This window comes from Homo sapiens, chromosome 10 (genome assembly GCF_000001405.40).
Source record: "Homo sapiens chromosome 10, GRCh38.p14 Primary Assembly".
NCBI lineage: Eukaryota > Metazoa > Chordata > Mammalia > Primates > Hominidae > Homo > Homo sapiens.
In genome coordinates this window covers 54,598,414-54,621,563 of record NC_000010.11, presented here as the reverse complement: position 1 = coordinate 54,621,563, position 23,150 = coordinate 54,598,414, and the positions used below count along the sequence as shown (strand labels likewise).

At 33.4% G+C, this 23,150-nt stretch overlaps 1 protein-coding gene, 1 long non-coding RNA gene, 1 other non-coding gene and 1 pseudogene across 22 annotated transcripts in view; 2 read left to right on the top strand and 2 right to left on the bottom strand.

Annotated features, from left to right (window-relative positions):
* Positions 1-23,150, top strand: part of PCDH15 (protocadherin related 15) — a 1,825,172-nt gene that overhangs the window by 1,006,379 nt on the left and 795,643 nt on the right. The window lies entirely within an intron of this gene.
* Positions 1-23,150, bottom strand: part of LOC105378311 (uncharacterized) — a 169,822-nt gene that overhangs the window by 34,488 nt on the left and 112,184 nt on the right. The window contains exons 3-4 of the long non-coding RNA NR_134503.1: positions 14,579-15,872; positions 2,240-2,430 (exon numbers count right to left, since the gene is read on the bottom strand). This is a non-coding gene — a long non-coding RNA (uncharacterized LOC105378311). The remainder of the gene's footprint in view (positions 1-2,239; positions 2,431-14,578; positions 15,873-23,150) is intronic.
* MIR548F1 (microRNA 548f-1) lies at positions 13,607-13,690 on the top strand. Its single transcript, NR_031642.1, has one exon. It is a non-coding gene; the product is annotated as a microRNA 548f-1 (primary transcript).
* NEFMP1 (neurofilament medium pseudogene 1) lies at positions 20,684-21,886 on the bottom strand (annotated as a pseudogene).

The window sequence follows — 23,150 nt, the reverse complement described above, 5'->3', positions numbered from 1 at the left end:
ATTACACGGATTTTGGACATTTTATATTGTATGAAAAATTGAGTTATCTGCTTAAAACATCTGATTTTAAGAGGGTAAGACAATTCAGAACAACGGGACTCCAAGGCAGCTTGTATTTGGTGGTTTTAGTAAACTTAGTGTTTGCATATTTCATCTTTTCTTTCTCAGGCAAAGTAAACTTTTCTTAAAAAATAATCTTGAGGAGGTATGCAGAGATCAGCATATTTAATAAATTGAACCATTTAATATGCACTAGAGGATGTATTTTATTAATAATAGTAATTACTGTTGCTAGCATGGGGTTTGGAAGGTCACTAATCAATATATGTTCATTTACTTGAAATAAAATAATCCTAGCATTAATCCATTTTTGATGAATATTGCTTTGGTTAAGCAAATAATTACAACAAAATTTTGCATTTGTGAATGAATCAGCTTTATGTCCACTGGGCTTACTTAAAATGAACTACAAGTATATAATTTTAAATGAAAAATAATTTTCTCCACCTACACAGTACCTTAGGGAACAGAATATACTTAAGCTTGCTATTTTTGTGTCCTCCTAAAAAAGAATATATATTCTTCTCCATTGAATATTAGGAGATTGGATATTTTTGTTCTTACTTCTTTATTAAAATAGTAATAAATCTTCTTTTATGTTTCAGGAAAGCATGGTAGAGTGTTTTATACACAGCTTTTCAGTAAAGGGGAAAAAGGAGGTGTTGTATGGATAATATGTCCCTTAGAATGACAATGGAAACATAGACTGCCTCTTTTTCTCTTACACATTGCAATTCTATTGCAAAATACAGACAATCCTACAGGATGTACAGAAAACATATAAATAATAGAGTTTTACAGTAAAAGTTAGACTATTATGATTGTCATATACTACTAATAACAATTTCTGCCTAACTTTCTCAGTGGTATCTATCACAAAATGTATTGCTCAGCTTTCGCAAGAAACTAGGTGGTGAGACCATTCAGTGGTTTAAATGTGCTGATGCAGGCTGCTTTCTGAAGGTGCACTGGCACATTCAGTATCCTTGACCTTCAGTAAAGAGTAAAAAGAATCGGTTTTAGAAACCAACCCCTGTAATTTGTCTTACATGATCATTTCCCCTGAAAGCTTCATTTAGGCTCAGTTTCATTTATAAGACTAGAAATATTAGAATCTTTTTTATCTCAAATTCCCATCTGATATATTAAATCCATTGTATCAGATTTTTCCTATATGATATGTGACTGTATAATAATAAGATTGGTATTTTATCAATCTTTGCCTAATTTTCCCATTATGCTACAATCATATTATGGGTTCACAGTATTATTTTCCTGAAAAATTTATGTTTATATAAAATAAGTTATTGAGTTGGGGGTCAGCAAACTTTTTCTGTAAAGAACAAAGTAAATCTTTAGGGCTTTTGTGGGCCGCGTCATCTCTGCTGCAACGATTTAACTCTGGTTGTTGTAGTGTTAAAATAATCAACAATATATCTTTAAAAGGGGAACAAGATTGTGGACATTTAAATTTTATATAATTTTCCCATGTTAAGAAATATCTGTTTTTTTGATTTTTTCCCCAACTGTTTAAAAATGTCAAAACCATTCTTACCCTTTCAGCCTTACAAAAATCAGGTGTGGGTTGGATTTGTCCGGTGAGCTATAATTTGCCAACCCCTGTCTTGGATAACACAATCAGTGAACCTACTCTTAGAAGCCCAGTCCCAGATTTAGAACACAGATTAAGAACTTTAGAAGAATAGAAATAGGAAGTAGAAAAATAGTGTAAATTTGGTCCACACTATGATGGTTCTAGTGCGGCAGTCTAGAAAATTAAAGATGATAATTTTGTTAGAAGTGGAGTATAGCAGTAATGGTGGAAGCTAGGCACTTATCTTGAAGTCACTTTTGCAAAGTGAGCACATCTTATTTAATTTAGAGTACCTTTGGTGGGACCAAATCCCTCTGCTTAACATCTCTGCATTCCACCATTCCTCACTCCCAGTATTTACTGAAAACATGAACAATCTGTTACAAGATTACGCACAAAAAGAAAACTGAGGGAGAAAGGATGTGTTTCTCATCAGTATCACTAGATGTAATAATTATATTAAATTCTTCCTTCAGCCTTTGAGACTTATCTCAATGTCATTATGAAACCATACCTGTTTCTCTTGCCATTTCCTCTCTTATCCCAATCAATGAATTATCAACCCTTCTTCCTTAAATTACTTACTTTTTTTAAGTCTCTATTAACAGATGTTATCCCAGTCTGCCATGTGAGAGAATTGATGACTTCTTTAAAATCTCTTTGAAGTTAGGTTTTTGAGGAGGTAGAGTCTATATTAGTATCCTCACTAGTTTCTCCAGGAGGGGTCTTCAATTTCATTGTCTTTTATTTAACATTTTTTTTAAGTTAGATTAAACCTATAAAATAAAATGTAAGATGTTTTCAGGTTCTTAACTATTAATATTGAAGATCAGTGTTTGACTTTCCTTTCTCTATGCAAAAGGGAACATTTTGTTAAAAATAGAGCTAATGAGTAACATCATGAACTGAAATTTTAAAAATTCATGTACAAATTTTCTTTTAATGAAAACATCCATTTGATGCTTTGATATCCTCCTGGAGTGCCATTTTATCTGCAGATACAAATTTTTTTTTCCATATGGAATAACATGCTGCCGTTGTCTCTATATATAGCTATCTCTGTGTGTCTTCATATATTTTGCTCTATGGTGAGCTTATTTAGACACCAAAGTATTTATTAGTTTGTTAAGGCACATACTTTTGTAATAATATTTCAACATAATTAGTGATTCTAGAAATATATAACATGTAGCAAACTCATTATTGCTCCACTGGTGCCCACATAGCCACACACGCATATATACACACACTCAAGTAGATAACACAAATCTGTTAGTAGAATATGTATGTCTATTTACATACAGAGATTACTATTCAAACAATAATAATGATAATCTTTACAATCCTAGTAACTCACATTTGTTATATTCTTACTCTGTGCTATACATTATGCTAACCAAGCTACTTGCATGTTCTTATTTGGTGCTCACAGCAATCATGTTGATAAAACACAGCTTCATAATCATGTACCACTGCTGAGAATGAGTTTACCTGAAATATTTCCCCGGTTTTACATCATAATGTATGTTCCAGCATAAGGTTAGTAGTCTACTACTATCTGTATGTGGAAAGTGTTTTAAATGAGGAAGATAACTAAACCTAATAGGGCATTTGTAATAACCTAAGTATCACTTTAGGAAAGATATGTATGTTTATTGCTCCAGTTAAATAGATACTTATACTGTCATTTTAATAGGTGCATTTGAACCTCAAATACTCATGTACTTAATCTACATACTTTGTCTATAGAAAACAGGAGGTATCAAAATACATTACCTCTTCTCATATTATACTGACATGACAGAAGAACTTTAGAACATGCTAAATGGGAAGTAGAATTTATAGAAGAATTCCCCAGGCTTCTAATATATCTTGAAAACAAAGTTACAGTTGGGCTGAATACTCTCATTCTGTGACTCTTATTCCATTCTATATCCTCCTCTTTCTCCTATTCTTACTCTTACTCTTCTTCTTTTTTTTTTTTTTTGAAATGGAGTCTCACTCTGTCTCCCAGGATGGACTGCAGTGGCGATCTCAGCTCAGTGCGATCTCTGCCTCCCGGGTTCAAGAAATTCTCTGCCTCAGCCTCCCAAGTAGCTGAGATTATAGGTGCCCGCCACTATGCCTGACTAATTTTTTTTTTTTTTTTTTTTTGTATTTTTAGAGTTGGGGTTTCACCATCTTGGCCAGGTTGGTCTTGAACTCCTGACCTTGTGATCCTCCCACCTCGAATTACAGGCATGAGCCACCGTGCCTGGCCTTTTCTTTTCTTTTAAGCTACTTTTTAATATATAGTAATGACTGTTAATATAGTATATACTATGCTATTCATCAATGCTGTAACTTTCTTAGTTTCATTTTCTCACTCAATTGAAGTCCAGGTACCCAGGTCACAAAAATTTTAGCTGTATAGAAGACCTTATGATATAGTAATTTTCCATATACATATAGTAAAAGTGTATGTTCTCTTTATTGTATATTAACATAATTTACTTCTGAGTAAGATGGCTTTGAAAACACAATTTTACTATTATTCAAAAGCAGATTCACAAATAAGTTAGGTAATTACGAAAGTGCTACATTTTACATCTTACAAGATCTTACAAGATCTTAAAATTTGATCAGTTGGTTGCTCAATGGCTACCATCCCACTGGAAATAATCTACACAATATTCTTAGGACCCTGGTGATGTTTACCAAATAGTCATATTTTTAGGCCAGGTGCAGTGGCTCATGCCTGTAATCCCAGCATTTGGGAGGCCAAGGCTGGTGGATCATCTGAGGTCAGGAGTTCGAGACAGGCTGGCCAACATGGTGAAATCCAGTCTCTACTTAAAAAAATAAATAAATAAAAATTAAAAAATAAAAATAAAAACGTCATGTTTTTAAAGATACAATGAAATTCATGATAAACAACAGTGATCCTTAATGACATATCACTTATGAACTAGGTTTTCTTTTTTATGCTGAATTTAAACAAGTATTTGGGCTAGAAATGCCATTTTACAAAGAAGTTATAAGCTTCTAAATTATTAATTTTATTGTAAAAGCGGGCATCCAAAGAAATTAGTAACAAGAAGGAAGAATATATAATGCAATAAAATATAGCCTCCATGTAGCTGAAGACACATTAATGTCACCTAGTTAAACTTGTTATAAATACGTCTCTTGGGTTCCAGTTCCGAGGTACTCATAAGTCTGACTGGGTCTCAAAGTCGCCAACTAAACAAGTGTCTTTGGTGGCTGTGAGTCCAGTGGTATAATTCTCAACATGTACTTTGTATCAAAGTTAACTAGAGTTAATTTTTTAAAAAAATCAGAATTCTGTACCCAACCAAAAATATTTGATTCTGTATCTGGAAAGGTGTCTGGGAATCTGCATTTTAACAAGCACATCCTGTGATTACAGTTGGGGAGTCCACAAAATATACTTTGAAAAAATAGGACACACTTGCAATGGCTTCATTTAAATAACCCCAAACAGATGAAAAATTAAGGCCTCCAAAGAAGCAGTTCTATGATTTCACTGATTTAAAAGTTCCTCATCTGATTAGGAATATGTTCTTTATACCTGACCTAATTTTCCATAGAAAATCTAAGGACAGTAGCTTTTTCTTCAGTGTTCTTTCTGTATCTTCCAATTTTCTATAGTTTTTGCAGAGCTCTTCTTCATGCCTCCCTTTTATAAGTCCTTGAGTTCAGGATCAAACAGCAGAAACCTGAATGTTGATTCCACCCACAGATATAGTTTTGAGGGTTTTTTAAACTTTATTTTTAATTTTTTTCTTAGCCACTTTTTTGAATTGAACACATTTTTAAAGGCTTTGCACATTAAAATATCAAAATTTATTTCTACTCAAAAAAATGAGATAATTTGGTAATGCTGAGCCTGCTGTTGTCTACAGCAACAATTTCCAAGTATAGTCCACTGCCTTTAAACCGTGTGATATTTTTAGTTCACCAGTGTCTGTACCAATCCCTGTGATGCCACTGACATTAAGACTAAGTATCCATCGCCATTTTCCACTGGGAATATTTTTATTATTGAAAAACTTATCTCTGTATTTATGTTTCTATACCTAATAATAGATTATAAAATTTGACAGAAATACTACATATTTCAAGATAAATGGAGAAAGTTTTTCAGAAAATGAACAGTATTTTATGTTTATTTTGTAAATATGAAATGCTTCACACGTTGTTATTTGTATGTGTCTTATTTTGTCATTCCTAGTTTATGTGTGTTTTTCTCTCTCACTAGAATGAAAGTCTATGATGTTTTTATAGAGATAGACAGTGTCTTATTTGTCTCCGTGTCTCAAGTACCAAGGTAACTGTGATGTTCTTGGCATAGAATGGATGCACATATATGTATTTCATTGATTAATATTGCTTTTAAAAAACTATGAGTACTAGAGATTGCAAAATTCTAATCCATTTATTATTTTCTTGGACTTATTTCTTCAATCTATGCACATCCGTTGGATTAACTCTTGAATCTTCTAATTCCATTTCTTGCCCAATTCTACAATTTCCACACATTTCTGTTTAGTTCCAGAAACACAGAATTAAAAAATCTACTGAGTATACTTCTATACAAAACATTGTATCTGGTAAAGAAGAATTATGCCCAACATACTCTAGCCTTATGGCTGCCAATAGAAATAACCCCCTTCTATTTTCTACTGTATAAACTCAATTTGTATCGCTTTACCACTTATTTAATGCGTGTTTATTCTCAATTCATAATATGTATTATCTCGCCTGAGGTATAGTTATTATTTTAGGTAATAGCTACCTTTCAGCGTACTTTATCCCTTAACTTTAGAAAGTATGATGAACATTTAGACAACATTGTGTGAATGGGTAAATACCTATCCAACATTCAATAAAAAATAAATTAAAATCCAAGCCCAAATCAGAAATAGCAAAAACAATTACCATTTACTGAGTACTTAGCATATCTTATACATATCATATATTAGCCATTTGACAAATGCAATTCTGCCTTATATCTCATCTGATCCTCATCACAACTATTAGAAACTCTAGATTAAAAATATAGATTCAAGGAAGAGGTAATAAGTAGCAGAGCCCAGAATGAAAAGGCAGACTCTTTGATCCCAAACCCTTGTTCCACACACAGGAGTATGCAAGTGGAACTTTGACTCTTGGTGGGAATTTCTGTGGACAAGCACGAGAAAAGTAACAAAACTACAAGAAGAAAGTAGAATGACAATAGCACCCTGACCAGAAGCTTATTTGTAGTGACAGAGCACTTCATTAGTGTTTATTATGTTTAAACATTTAATAATTAGGTCAGATGGTACAAATACAATTGTAATATAAAATTATAGTTTTGCAGTTACTTTGGTCATGAAAATTATTCAAGTTTAAATTGCTAAAACTTCCAAAGGGATAAAGTACTTGACTTTGAAAAGCTTTAATTTTTAAGCCATTAAAATTCCTTTAATGAGCAATATTGCCTCAACAATAACCCCTTAAAGTGAACAAAACTTTCAGCATTTTCAACTGCTTTTACCTCTCTCATTTGTTTTAAAATTTCTTGGAACAAATAAAATAGCGGAGATTTGATACTGGCAGGAAGTTGTGAAATGCTTGAATGATCCAACAGATGGTGAAACTCAAAATCTCTTCTGGCCTCTCAGCCCTCTAGGCTAGTGTTGGCTCAGCATTTTTATTTCCACATTTGAGATATTTTAGGATTTTTATTGTTATACTAATATATAATTACAATTATGTGCATATAGGTCTAGTGTATATGCATATATGGGTGTATATATATGCTCATATGCATGTATGTTGCTATGCATTGTTTACTAATTCTCTTGCTAATGATTTTTTATCCACTTTGTCTTTATATAGCATTAGTTTTATTAAGAAACAGTTATCTTTATTAAGAAAATAATAAACTATTCAATGGAAAACTATATAATTTTAAATTTGGAAGTGGTCTGGGAGTTCGTTGTCTCCTGCCATTATAGCACTAATTTATAAAATACTCATGAAAACTCATCCAAGGTTGAGGAGCTAACAAATTTGGATTATTGTTTTCTCGTGGGTGCCGGATAGTTCACAATAATCAATGAAACCATTTGCCACTTTGATTTTTTGTGTGTGTTTTTGTTGTTGTTGTTGTTCTGGTGCATGATTAGAATAAAGCTTCTGCCAATCTTTTCCCCTTTTAATACCAGTTAATCTGCTGAAATGTTAAAATTATTCTGAATTTGCTTAATTGTCTTCAGATTGTTCAAAAAATCATTATGTACACAGAGACCCTTCACCACATTTGTCAGAGACCCTACTCTACATTTCTTTCACCTCCCTAGCCTCAATTACCTTGTGCATATGTGTATGTGTGTGAGTGTGTGTGTGTGTGTGTGTATGTGTGTGTGAGAGAGAGACAAAAGAGAGACTGAAGCTTTTTATATTTCATCTTGAAATTGTGATGGAACATGTTTCCCTGTTACTTATGCCACAAAGTGAATCATATTTGCTGAATTTAATAACTCAATGACTCAGCAAATATGATTTATTGAACTTCCTGAACAATTGTCTTTCTTTTCCTCATTCACATTCTCTACAAATTTTAAGCCTTGCTGTTTGAGAGTGATAAAGTTTCTTTCTCTTCATTTTAGAAAAACATAGCATTGCTGTGTTTCTAAGGCATACTTTAGAAAGTGAAGTCCTTCTAAATTGTACTTTCTAAAGTGAACTCTTTCACTCTCTAAAGCGTGCTTTAAAAACATAGCAATGCCGTGTTTCCCTAAAATGGGCATTGTAAAATATAAATATTGTTTCTAGCCCTGAATCGGTATTTTTGTCTAACCTTCCATATTTCCTTAGTTTTCCCAAATATTGTCATCTACTGAAGTTAAAATGTAAAATTATGCCATGCCTCTTTATCCTACCCTCTTTTAAGTTATAAAGAGCTAGAGTTTCATTTATTATCTTATGTATTCATCTATTCATGCTATTGCCTTAAAATTTATTTTAAAAATATTAAAAACATAAATATTAAGATGGACATTGCAAAGTAAATCTGACCAGGTACGATAAGAAACTTACTTGGAACTTACAAAGTCTATTCCAATAGGTTTTATACTGTGTAAATTAATAAATTATGTCCCATTTTAGTATAATTGTTACCCAATTGTTAGGTCACACAAGACATAATACTAAATTATATTTCTGCAACCAGTTTTATTTTTCTTATATAAGTAAGTCGAGGCAAAATTTTTATAACATAGTTTAGAATATAAAAAGAGCCACACACAATATATTCTGCAGTTTGTTTTTCAAACTTTTAGATTATGTTTTTCTGTAAAGTTGCCATCTTGACTTTGCTGGTTATATCTCTAAGTAAGTGTCATTTATGCCTCCAGTCCACCTAGATCCAAAATTTATCTACATAATTAAAAATTAATCATTTTATTTAGAGAAAAAACACTTATTTAAGTTTAACAATGCAAAGAAAAAAGATTTTATGTTGGTGATCCTTTTATCTTAGTGAATAGCTGAGGTTAAGATACTGAACCTTTTCATGCCACTCTGTGTAGTGCCAATTGTTAATTCAATTTATTTTAATAAATATATGTGTACAGAGCTTTAGAGATATGTCCCTTATTTCACTATGCACAAAATGTGCTCACAAGAAAGGTGGTTTTGTTAAGCTGAGAATTTCTGATTTTATTTCATTTGTTCATTTCATTTTATTGTTTGCCTCTTTTACTTTTAGGGTTATACAATTATTCAACTCTGTTTAAAAAGTGATGTGTTATGCTACCACTCTGCCAAAGCCACTAGAACTATTTTGTAGAAATAACCAGAAGGTTCAAAGACACATATACCTTAAGAAACGAAATTTAACAAATGAGATGGACCTTATTATTTATTAACTTCAGTGTTGTGTTTGTTTTTGTATTTATTCACTCTATACTCTTTGAACAATAGAAGAGGAACAACATGAAAGAGGAGATATTAATCATTCATACAATCATACAATTTGTTTTTTGTCATTTTTCTTCATTCTCTCAGAAAGTGTTGAAGACAAAACAAGTAGGAATATGGTGAAACAAGGAAGACTGACTTAGACAGATGAGAAATACAGAAAGCTGATGATGCTGGTTTAGTAGGCTGTTTACAGAGCTGTTTTGGATAAAAGGTCTGGACTAACCCTAAGGTGCCTTGATTAAATGCAGAGTAATTACATCTTGATTTGGTTGCTCTCTTATATTTATCTTCTTGTCTCTCTAGATATGTAGCTGCCTCATATGTTCTGTCACTGTGCAAAAGGGACCAGACTCTTTGAATTCTGTTCTCCTTAACATGTGTGATTCCTATTGGCTAGTGGGCCATTATCTCAGCTTAAAGAGTCAGCTGTTGATCTAATTATCCGAACAAAACAATTCTCCCTAGATATGAATAAACTTAAGCTTATAGTGGGAATATTTATTTTAAAAAGGATTTTTACAGCACATGCTAACAGAATTCTAAAGTAATCAGAGGTGACGATATTGAGAATATGTGCTTCTGTGTCCTTCATTTCTGTTTTAATTATTCTAATCCAATTCACTTAAATTATCAGGGAGGTTTTTTTTAAAAAAATAAAAACATCAATATTACTGATACATATCTTTGCTTCTCTGTTAAATTTTGCAAGGGGACTCCATAGTGTTTAAAGACACATAACTTGGCAAGAAAATGGGAGTTAGCATAGATAATTATAAATACTCAACAGTTATTAAAATCTTTTCAATTGTAAGAAAAAAATGCTAAACTGTGTTTATTTCCTTTTGAGTTTTGTGGACTATATTGTGTTACTCATGTCTTTCATTTGTGGTATTTAAGACATTTATATATTTAATGAAATATTTGCAAAGATATGTTGTTCTGTGCTGGAGGAATGTTACTAGTATAAGAAGCAAATAACACTGACCAAAATAAGCAATAAAATGAAACAAAAGAAAATAAAAATATGAATTTTGTATGTATTTCTCAAGTACTACCAGCAGATAGATGCATTGTTCCAGGGTACACCTTTTTCATTTCTTTGTCATTTGTTGACTTCAGAGACAAAAGCTGATCCATTAACTCATTCTCTTTAAACCAACTTATCTTCAGAATATCTTCTCCCTGATCTACTCTTATTCTTCTATTCTCCTTTTATTATTATTTTTATTATTATAGAAACCCAAAAGAACTAGCACAGCAAAACAGAACTCTACTGAAAAGACAAAAATATATAATGACTAAGTAGTCTAAGACAGAATATTCATAGAAAGCAGGAGAGAAAAGCCAGGGATTGTTTTGTCTAGCCTCAGATATTACGGAAGGACAAGTACACATTTAACTCTATAGATTTTTGAATCAACACAGTCCTGTGTTTGAATCCTCCTCTGCCATAAACTAGCTATGTGATCTTGGAAATATTAGTTAACCTCTTGAAATTGAGTTTTGCTTATGTTATAAAATGGTTAAAACGTACCTATCTCATGGGATTGGTGTAAATGGAATGAGATAATGTGGCTAAACTATTTAGACAGTGCCTTGTACTAAACAATATAAGAAAATATTTGTGAGATTCCAAGCATGTTAAAGGTAAGATCAAGGGTTAAAACCATTGGACAAATCCAAGCCAGTAGTTTTGTAAGGCATAAGAGCTAATAGATAGTATTTCTGAGGTGAAATACTATATTTGAAAAAATCGAGATCTGCACCAGTAAACAAAGCCTCTTTACCTTCCAAGAGTATGAGCTCAACAGCTATATTCACATCCCCTAAGAGGAAGAGTTAGTGACAATCAAATTGACAGAATAGGATGAACCTAAAGGTAACAACTAACAATTTTTGATGGCTATTTTACCCATGAAAAACCATCAGTATTGTTAATAAAAGTATCAAGAAATACAAATGAATTTAATGTTTTATTTTACATTAGAGAAACTATTTTAATGACATAAATATATGAACATAATTGAACTGCATATAAAGTGTTAAACCAATATTTAGCTATCTAATGTATTATAAATAGCCCTGCCTTCACATACATTTCCTCTAGGGAAAAAAATAGAATCATTTACTTTCTATAGATATTTAGTGTTCTTCAAAGTATCTTTGTTATTAAATTAATTTGGGAGAGGGAGGTGGTTAAGAAAACATTGCTTTACACCAGTACATATAACTATGTGATTTATAATAAATGCAACCACAGTGGCAGTATATTTTCTGGATGTTAATAGCCTGAAATCCCTTTCAGTAGCAGCATTAATCAGTCAAGGATGGGTTATTTTATGGTCTTTAATGGCCTTTGTTGATAGATGGAGATTTTGTTTACAGATTATTCTTCATTGAAGCACCATAGATTGCAAGCTATGATTCTTAAGAGATATTCTCAAAACATAAATTATGCTGCTAAGAAATCTGTTCAGAGCTAAATTAAATTAGATAGCTGCATTTTTTATGAAGCATAGGTAATGGAGCAGTATACTACAAATGCCTTTTCCTGAGACATTGGTGTGGAATATCTTTAACACAGAATTTTTTCCTAAGAAACATTCCTTTACTTGTGTGCAAGTTTATGAGCCTACATGTTCCTCTCCTGAGTAATTTATGTAGAATACATAACATTTGAAATGTATTTATGATATTTGACTATTATAATGAATATCTGCCTTCAGGTCAGACATTACCAAAAATTTTCATTTTTAAAAAATGAGCAAAAACAGTAGTGCTCATTTATATTTTCCAAATGTCTTCATAATTGAGTATACTGACAATTCAATAGTCAAATTTTAATAATTGTTGCAGTCAACGTTTTGTTTCACATTGAATAATTTTTTATTGTACCTTTCAGGGAAACATTATTCGTGCGCTTGTAGTGCGTGATTATCATTCATGTTGCTTCTAATAATATTTTGCTCACATACATCTTATAGATTGAGTACAGAGTCTAAAAATTTGGGTATGATTATACTACTTCAGAATATATTTTCATTTCCCAAATGTTATTGACTCTTAAAATTTCTAGCTAGGGACTGATTTTTTTTTCTCATTTCTTCTTCTTCTTCTTTTTTTAATGGAGAATAATATAATAGCTGTGGAAAACAAATGACTGTATTTTACTAAACTACACTAAACAAGCCAAGACACCCTTAATTTAATTCAATGTGAAAGTCAGAATTGTAAGAGAGCATAAATCTTGACTTCTTGACGAATATTACCAGACTAAGTCACATCATTTTGTTTGATGACTTTCTCCTTTTTGTATTTTTTATTTTGTTAAGAGAGGGTCTCTGTCACCCAGGCTGGAGTGCAGTGGCATGATCACAGATCACTGCAGCCTAGATATCCTGGGTTCAATCTATCCGCCCACCTCAGCCTCCAGAGTAGCTGAAACTATAGGCGTGTGTCACCACACCCAGATAATTATTATTATTATTATCTGTAGTGATGAGGTTTCACTAAACTGCCCAGGCGGGTCTCAAACTCCCGAGTTGAAGCGTTTCTCCCACATCAGCCTCTCTAAGTGGCTGGACTATAGGTGTACCCCACCATGTCCGCTATTTTTTCTTTTTTTTTTTTGGTAGAGATAAGTTTTTGTCATGTTGCCCATGCTCGTCCTAAACTCCTGGGCTCAAGCAATCCAGCCACCTCGGCCTCCCACAGTGCTGGGATTACAGTTGTGAGCCACCACACCTGGCCTCTCCTTTTATTGAGCGAAGTGTTTGCATACAAATCCCCTGGGATTTTTTTGCTCGGAAATCCCCTCAGGGCTATGCCTAGTCCTCTTTTTGGCTCTATCACTTTTACTGTATTTGTCAAAGAAAAGTATTTCAAGTTAAAATATTATTTTGAAAAATTCCTTATGTGTGCAAGTCTTCTCACAATAACCAAAATGATGTAGGCAAAGCCTTTCCAAAGTGCGGAAGTATTAGGTTGGTGCAAAAGTAATCACAGTTTTTGACATTACTTTCAAAGACAAAAACTGTAATTACTTTTGGACCAACCTAATAGCCTGATTAGCAGTGTCTTGCTCACAGTAGGCCTCATGGCATCATATCTCTTCCTTACCATCATTCTTCATATATCTATAAAAATTCTTTGTAGTAGACAGTAAAAGCCTTAAAGTTACCATTGATTTATTGAGCAATCTAATATTTTTTCTAATAAATATATTAAGATAATATAAATTTTAAAATCTCCATTACCCTCTAGTCTATTATATTTTCTTACTGATTGAATCGTTATGCTAAGGCAATTCTAATCGTAAGGACTATGGGTTGATTTCTACTCTTAACCTGAAACAAGAATAAATTTGTCATGCAGACAAATTTGCATAATGTTCAAAACATAAACATATGCCAGGAATTGAGAGGTCTCTGAGGGCAGGGACCTGGATTTCCTGTATGCCTTTCCTTCTCTTCTCTCTAGTCTACTGCCATTCTTTAATATTTTTCCATATTTAATAATGCCACATGTTATCATATATTGGGTAGTGGGCAGGGATATGGAGAAAATCATATTTTTGCCCCAGAATCCTCTACCAAGAATATTATTAAATTTAGAAGATTTTATATCACATTATTGTTTACCACATTTATTGCACATAAACTCAATTTTAAATCTTATAATTATCTTTTGACTAGTTCAGATATATTTAATTATTGTATTTTCTTTATGTAAAAAGTATTGTTATTAAATGTAAACATATAAAACAACTCATTTTCACAAATAATTTTTAGCATTTTAATTTTTTAAAATTGCAATAAATATTAAGTATAAGTTACTTTGACAACTAAAAGACCTTTATTACTTATGTTAATAAATCTTTCTAGCCACCTGAAATTAGTATATCTTTTCAAAAAATTCACTATATTTTTATGTGTATTTGCAGCCACTCACCATTTAGCCTTTGTTTTATGACTCTAGGGAATTCTTCATTAAAAGCTTTAGAATAGTCAGAATGTGAAACAGAAGACAGATCTATATAAGGCTCTTCCTCTCTCATCCTTCTGTTAGGAATTCTGCCACACTTTTGGTTTCTGATGGGTTTGATGTGACTTGGCCTTAAGTTTGGGCCATCCTTTAAACAATTAATCTGTGTTCTCTGCCACATGCTTCCAAACAAGTGTAGCTTGACTTCTTATCTTTTATGATATCTGAAAACCCTTCAGCCTACAGAGACACATACACTTAGTCTTTTGGTTGCTGATTCCAGTTGAGGACAATACTAATTTTTCTAGCCTGCATCCGAACTGGCATCTTTCCACAATCTTGATCCTGACCCATTGCTTCCATGTCCAAGACAGCACAAAATTCTAAAATTTTTATTTTGTTTTATTTAGTTTCCTTCTCTCTTTCTGATAGCAAGAAGGACACAAACTAGAGAAGCATCTTTGGGCAGTATGTGAAGCCTGCTCAAAGGAGTTGTAATCATTCTCATATATCTCAAAACTGAAGATAATTCTTGTCCTCTATGAAGGGTTTCTAGTAGCTGCTTTGAGAGTTCTTAGTTTCCTTTCTTTGTATTCTCATCCATGGCAGACATTCTTTGGCAGCAATTCTCACCTCTCAGGAAATAGAATCATCACTACTGTGGCCAGCTACTACAGACAAACTAAGGTACATTGAGAAAAAATGCCCAAACAAATGGGTTCTTCCCATATCTCCTCCACTTCACCTCCTCATTCACCAACTAGCTACAACAACAAAGCCCAGTTCCCAGATTCTCTATGAAAGAAGTTAGACTACAAATCAAGCATTCTAAGTTTTCTAGCTCCTACCTGAGGTCTGGCTTCTAACTCACTGTCTATGAGAGCTATTGGTGTTGCCATTCACTATTTACATGTGGGCTATAGAAAACAAAGCAGCCATTTTAAACAGGCATGTGGATATTTCCACAAATTCTCCCACTTGCTCACTCTAATGATAAAAGCAAGCCTCTAGCTTCAGTCTGGAAGGAATTTATCTACATATCTATCCCCTTAACTTTTCCAGCTGCTACCTGAGGAACTAGCTTTCAACTGACGTGTCTATGAGAACTAATGGAGATCAGCATCCATTAGGCCCATGGAGGCTACAGAGATCAAAGCAACAGTTTGAAAAAGTCTGTGGTTTGAATGAGCTTGCAAACATTTGCCATAGTTCTTTTCCCCAGCTCAGTTCAGCATGAGCAGATTATACACCCAGCTTTTCCCTGAGGAGAGAAGAAATTGGAAAATCCAGTTAGTGCCCCAACATTTATGGTTACTACTAAAAAGGATCAGTATCTCACCTGTTTCAGGGCAATGATGAGAGCTGGCATACTCTGGACACCCAGAGACCACTGAAAGCAGCAAAAGAAAAACAACTTGTTATGTGTTAGGGAACCCTCCTATGATCATTGGTGGATTTTCAGCAGAAACTTTGGAGGCCAGAAGGGAGTTGGATGATACATTTAAAATGCGGAAACAAACAAACAAATACACAACTGCCAATCAAAACAGTATACCCAGAAAATTATCCTTTAAAACTTAAGACAAAATTAAAAAAATCGAAAGCTGAGGGAGTTTATTGCCACTAGACTTGTCATATAAAAAATGCTAAAGGGAGTACTTTAAGTTGAAATCAAAGGATGCTAAATAACAATATAAGAGCATACAAAAGTATAAAACTCATCGGTAATGGTAAATTTATAGAGGCAAATAAAAAATACTATATTATTGTGGTTGTGGTAGGTAAATCACTTTTAATTCTAATCTAAAATTTAAAAAAGTATTAAATATAGGTATAACTAAAATTACATTAATAGATACACATGTTAAGATATGTAAATTCTGATATCAATAATCTATAATGGGAACAAGGTAAAAATGTGAAGTTTTTGTGTGGAAGAGAAGTTATCAGTTTTAGATTATTATAATTATATTTTATGTAAGACTCATGTCATTCACACAGAAAATAGCCATAGTACTTAAAAAAGAAAATCTACTACCTACAGTAGTTAAAAAACTAGTTATAAAAGAAAAGGAGAAAGGAATTAAAGCCTGTCAAACAACAATAACAAAAAAAGAAACACAAAATAAGACATCAAGAAAGAAAAAAAGGAACAAGAAAAACAGCAGTCAGTAAAATTTCAATAGTAAATCCTTCCCTATCAATAGTTACTTTAAATGTAAAAGGATTAAACTGCCCAATCACACGATATTAACTGGCTGAAAGAATAAAAACTTGGCACCAACTATTTAAGGACACACATAGTTAAACATGATAGGATGGAAAAATATATATTTTATGCAAATGGTAATGAAAAGAAAGCAGAATGGCTATACTTACATTAGACAAAATAGACTTTATGTCAAAAACTGTCTCCAGGGGCAAAGAAGGTCATTACATAAAGATAAAAAGGTTAATTCAATAGGAAGATATAACTATTGTAAATGTATATGCACTCAATATCAGATCTAAATATTTAAAGCAAACACTGACAGAACTGGAGAAATTTATAGCAGCACAATAATACTAGAAGATTTTAATATTCCACTTTTAATAATGGACAGAACATCCACAGAGAAATCAATGGAAAACAGCTTACTTGAACAATAGGAGAGACCAAATTAACCTAACAGACATCTACAGAACTTTTTACCCAACAACAGAAGATTGTACATTCTTTTCAAGCACATATGGAACACTCTTCACAATAGATCACCTATTAGATAACAAAACAACTCAACTTTAAGATGATAGAAACTGTATCAAGTATCTTTTCAGGTCACAATAGAGTGAAAGTGTAAATCAGTTAATGGTAAAGAAACAAGAAACCATATGATTCACAAATACATGGAAGCTAAACAATACACTCTTGAACAATCATTGGGTCCAAGATTAAATTTAAAAAATTAAAAATTACCTCCTGACAAAAATGAAAAGAAAACATACCAACAGTTGTGAGATATAGCAAAAGTATTTCTGAGAAGGAACATTATAGCAACTGGGCCCAATCTGTTTTCCATTGCCAATGCACTACTGCTAAAGCTGTGCAATATCAAACAACCTCTCTCTAGGCTCAGGGACCATCTTGGAAGAAGAGAGAATGTGAAATTGTAAAATCTGGGTCAGATAGGTGGAGTGTACAGGCTAAACCAATTCTGTCTTAAATGCTAATCCAACATGTTGGCTTTTCATTAACCTCGGTTCTGGGAATGCCTCTAAGATTTTTACTCTACTACTGTTAAGAGCACACACTTACCATAAATTCTGACCAAATTACTTCAATTCTCCTTACCTATAGTATATAAGCCCTGGGTTCTGGGGGTTAATGGCATGGGGATCCACCATCTTGTCTCACAGCCTCGAGAGACATGGCTTCTGTTTGTTAATACCTATTAAATGTTTCTGAGGAAGAAAAAAAAAAAGAAACATCTCAAATAAACAACCTAAAAAAATAACTAGCCAAAGACAGAAAAAAATACATACTAACCCAAATATTATCAGAAAGAAGGAAATAATGCTAATTAAGGCAAAAAATAAATTTTAAAAAGGACAAAAAAGCTATTTCAAAAGTCAACAAAACTGAGTTGTGTTTTGAAAAAGACAAATAAAACTGACACATCCTTTCCTAGAGTAACCAAAGAGAGAGAGAAGACTGAAATAAATAAAACTGTATATGAAAGAGGAAACATTACAACAGATGTCTCAGAAATAAAAAGAGCCCTTAAGGGACTGTTATGAATAAATATACACCAACAAATTAGATAAATGCGAAGTAATACATAAATTCCTAGAAAGATACATCCTACCAAGATTGAAGAAGAAATAGAATAGTCCAGCACTGCATGGCTTTGTGGGAGAATTCCAGCAAACATTCAAAGAATTAATAATATTTCTTAAACTATTTGAAAATCTAGATGATGGAACACTTACAAACTCATTTCATGTAGCCAGCATCGACCTGATAACCAAAGACATCCACAAGAAAAGTAAACTACAGGCCAGTAACCTTGATGAATGTAGACTCAGAAATGCTCAATAAAATACAAGCAAACTGAATGCAACAACACATTGAAAAAATTGTACACAATGACCAACTAGGACTTATCCCTGGGGTGCAAGGATGGTTGAACATGCATAAGTCATTCAATGTGATACACTACATAAACAGAATGAAACACAAAAACCATATGATCATCTCAATAAGTTCTGGAAAAATATTTGTCAAATTTAATACCTATTTCTAATTTAAAAAACTCTCAATACAATAGGTGTAGAGAAAACCTACCTCATCACAATAATAGCCATATAAGAAAAGCCCACTGATAACATAATAATCAATGGGGAAAACCCAAAAGCCTCTCCTCTAAAATCCTGTACAAGATTTCCTGCTCTTGCCACTTCTAGTCAAGAACAATGATACAATAAAAAGAAATGAAAGACATTCAAACTAGACAAGAAACAGTAATATTATCTCTGTTTACAGTTGACATATAGGTGTATAGGCAGAAAAGTCTAAAAGTCTCAATGACAACCAAAAATGCTACAATTAATACATGAATTTAGTAAAGTTGCTCTAAATAAAAGTAAGTGGCATTTGTAGAGGCTAAAAATAGATTATCTGAAAGGAAATTTTAAAAATCCTATTTATATAATAATAAGAATAAATACTTTGAAATATATTTAATCAAACAGGAAAATACATACACTGAAAATTATAAAGTATTAATAAAGGAAAATGTTTACTTTTTGCAAAATACAACATTTTTCTTTTTTAGAAAACTTTTAGGTTTAGGGGTATATGTGCAGGTTTGTTATATAGGTAAAATTATGTCATGGGGGTTTGATATTCAGAATGTTTAATCACCTGTGTACTAAGCAAAGTAGCTAATAACTACTTTTTTCAGATCCTCTCCCTCTTACCCTCCACCTTCTGGTTGGCCTCACTGTCTGGTTGTTGCTGTCTTTGTGTCCATGTGTTTTCATCATTTAGCTCCCACTTATAAGTGAGAACATGCAGTATTTCTGTTTTCTGTTTTTCTGTCCCTGTATTAGTTTGCATAGAATAATGGTCTCTTGCTCCATCCATGTTACCGCAAAGGACATGGTCTCATTCTTTTTATGACTGCATAGAATTCCGTGGTGCATATGTACCACATTTACTGAAATGAACATATGTGGGCATGTGTCTTTATAATACATCAATCATATTCCTTTGGCTATATACCCAGTAATGGGATTGCTGGGTCAAATGGCAGTTCTGTTTTTGGTTCTTTGAGGAGTTACCACACTGCTTCTTACAATGGACGAACTAAATTATACTCCCACCAACAGTGTAAAAGTGAGCCCTCTTCTCCACAACCAGGCCAACATATGCTACTTTCTGACTTTTTAATAAAAAGCTTTCTGACTGGTGTGAGATGTTTTCTATTGTGGTTTTTATTTGCGTGTCTCTAATGATCAGTGATGTTGAGCTTTTTTAAAATACTTTTTTTTGGCTGCAAGTATTTTTTTGTTTTTGTGTTTGAAAAGTGTCTGTTCATATACTTTTCACCCTTTTTAGTGGGGCTGTTTGTTTTTTTCCTGTAAATTTGTTTAAATTCCTTATAGATGCTAGATAATCGACCTTTGTCAGCTACATAATCTGCAAATAATTTCTCCCATTCTATTGGTTGTCTGGTAACTTTGTTGATAGTTTCCTTTGCTGTGCAGAAGCTCTTTCATTTATTTATTTTTTGACTATGTTTCCAATATGACCTTTATTGAGCAAGTACTGCTATGACATTTCACATCGATCAACATAAGATTGCAAACTGTCCGTGTCAACGAGGTTCTCCCATGAAGAAAAGTCCATTTTAAATGCACCAGTGTGGTAAACATAATTATTCATATATAGCTTTCTTAAGGCTAAGAGAGTTCTGTGTTTCATTTATTGTTTTTGGCTCAGTTGGTACTTTACATAATACATCTCAAGACATCTCCCCTTCTGAGTGACCCCCTTCCAACAGTGCAGGAAATTGGTAAATTTCCCAGGTACATACAGTATCATGCATTTGAATCCCCCAAAGACTGAGGGGGGAGCACACTGAGCTTGCATGCAGTCTCCTCATATTGCACAAAGTAAAATACAATGTCTGGAGCCCCTATGGGAGAATCTGTTCTGTTTTGAAGCTGTCAATCACATGCATTTTGAAATTGTCGTATGGCTTAAACTTTTGCAGTGGACTCAAATCTTAGTCACTCTGGGTGACTTCCTTTATTACGGCATGTGAAGTGACATTTTCTACCTTTTTAGTAGACACTGGTTTCTCCTCAAAGGTCTCTTCATGCTCTTCGACCATTTGAGTGATGGTTACAGTTTTAGTGATGTATTTGGTAGCACCATCTCCCTCTCACTGGTGATTTTTTCTACTATTTTGGTCACCACCACTTTATCTTCATTTTTATCATCCCCCTTCTTTTCATCTGCTGGGCTTAAGTCTAGGTCATTGGTGACAATGTCTTACTCCTCTTCCCTCCCACTGCCTTTTGCCTTGGTCTCCTGCTCTCCCTTCTCTTTTCCTTCTACCTCTCCATTGACAGCTATGTCTTTCTTCCTGGATTCCTTGGAATCTTTATCACTCCCTTCCTTCTCATTCCCCATTTCCTCCCACTTTCTCCTCTTTCTCCTGTTGCTGTGGCTTCCCTCTTCTTTGGTCTCTTTCTCCAAGTGCACCTTTACCAATTTGGTAATGGTGACTGCCTCCTCCATGGCTTCCTCCTTTACCAGGGACTCAGCTTTCTTCTTCTCTGGCACATCCATTGGTTTCTCTTCCTTTTTCTCTACCTTCTATTCCTTGGGAGCTTCCTCGATTTCCTTTTCTTCCTCTTTCTGTTCACCTTTCCCCACTTCTGCTTTTGACTTTGCCTCTTCCTTTGGTGATTTTGGCACAGTAGACTTGGCTTTTTCTGGCTTTTCCACCTTGGTGTCTGCCACCAACTCCTCCTTAGTGGCCACTTCCTCACTCTTTTCCTCAACTTTCTTTTCCTCTTTAGCTTTGGCTTCCTCTACTTCACCTTCAGCCTCTGTTTCTCCTTCTTTCTGCTCACCTTCCTCTTTTTCACTAGAGGCTTCCTTCTCAGATCCTCCCTCTTCAGCTTGGTCTAACTTATCACCCTCATCTTTTACCTCCTCTTCTTCTTCCTTTTCCCCTTCTTTCTTTCCATTAACTTCAGGTGCAGTTGCTTTCACTGGAGACTAGTGTACCAGTTTTTCAATTAGTTTGTCAATTTTTGCTTTTGCTGTGATTGCTTTTGGCATATTTTCCATGAAATCTTTGTCAGATCTTATGTTCAGAATAGTATTGCCTATGTTGTCTTCCAGTGCTTTTATAGTTTTGGGTTTTACATTTAAGTATTTAATACATTTTGAATTGATTTTTGTATATGATGTAAGGAAAGGGTCCAGTTTCAATCTCTGCATATGGCTAGCCAGTTATCCCAGCACAATTTATTGAATAGGGAGTTGTTTCCCCATTACTTATTTTTTGTCAGTTTTCTCAAAGAGCAGATGGTTGTAGCTGTACAGACTTATTTCTTGACTCTCTGTTTTGTTTTTTTGGTCTATGCATATGTTCTTGTACCAATACCATGTTGTTTTGGTTACTGTAGCCCTGTAGGATAGTTTGAAGTCAGGTAGCATGATGCCTCCGGCTTTGTTCTTTGTGCTTAAGATTCCCTTGATTATTTGGGCTATGTTTTTGGTTCCATATGAATTTTAAAATTGATTTTTTTTCTAGTTCTGTGAAGAATGTAATTGCTAATTGGATAGGAATAATGTAGTTGCTAATTAGATAGGAATAACATTTTATGTACAAATTGCTTTGGGCAATATGGTCATTTTAACCATATTGAATCTTCCTATCCATGAGCATAGAATTTTTTTTTAAATTTATTTCTGTTATCTCTGATTTCTTTTAGCAGTGTTTTATAGTTCTCATTGTAGAGATCTTTCACCTTTCTGGTTAGCTGTATTCCTAGGTATTTTATTCTTTTTGTGGCAATTGTGAATGGGATTGTATTCCTGATTTGGCTCTCAGCTTGGCTGTTGTTGATGTATAGCAATGGTAGTCATTTTTGTACATTGATTTTTATACCTTGATACTTTGCTGAAGTTGTTTGTCAGCTTACAGAGCTTTCGAGCTGAAACTGGGCTTTTCTAGATATAGAATCATTTCATCTGCAAACAGGATTAGTTTGACTTCCTCTCCTCCTATTTGGATGCCTTTTATTTCTTTCTCTTGCCTGATTGCTCTGGTCAGAATTTCCAATACTGTGTTGAATAGAAATAGCAAGTGGAGAAATCATTTTTTTGGTGCTGGTTTTCAAGGACAGTGCTTCCAGCTTTTGCCCATTCAGTCTGATGTTGGCTGTGGGTTTGCAATATATGGCTCTTATTATTTTGAGGTATATTCCTTCAATACCTAATTTGTAAAGAGTTTTTAACATGAAGGGAAGCAGAATT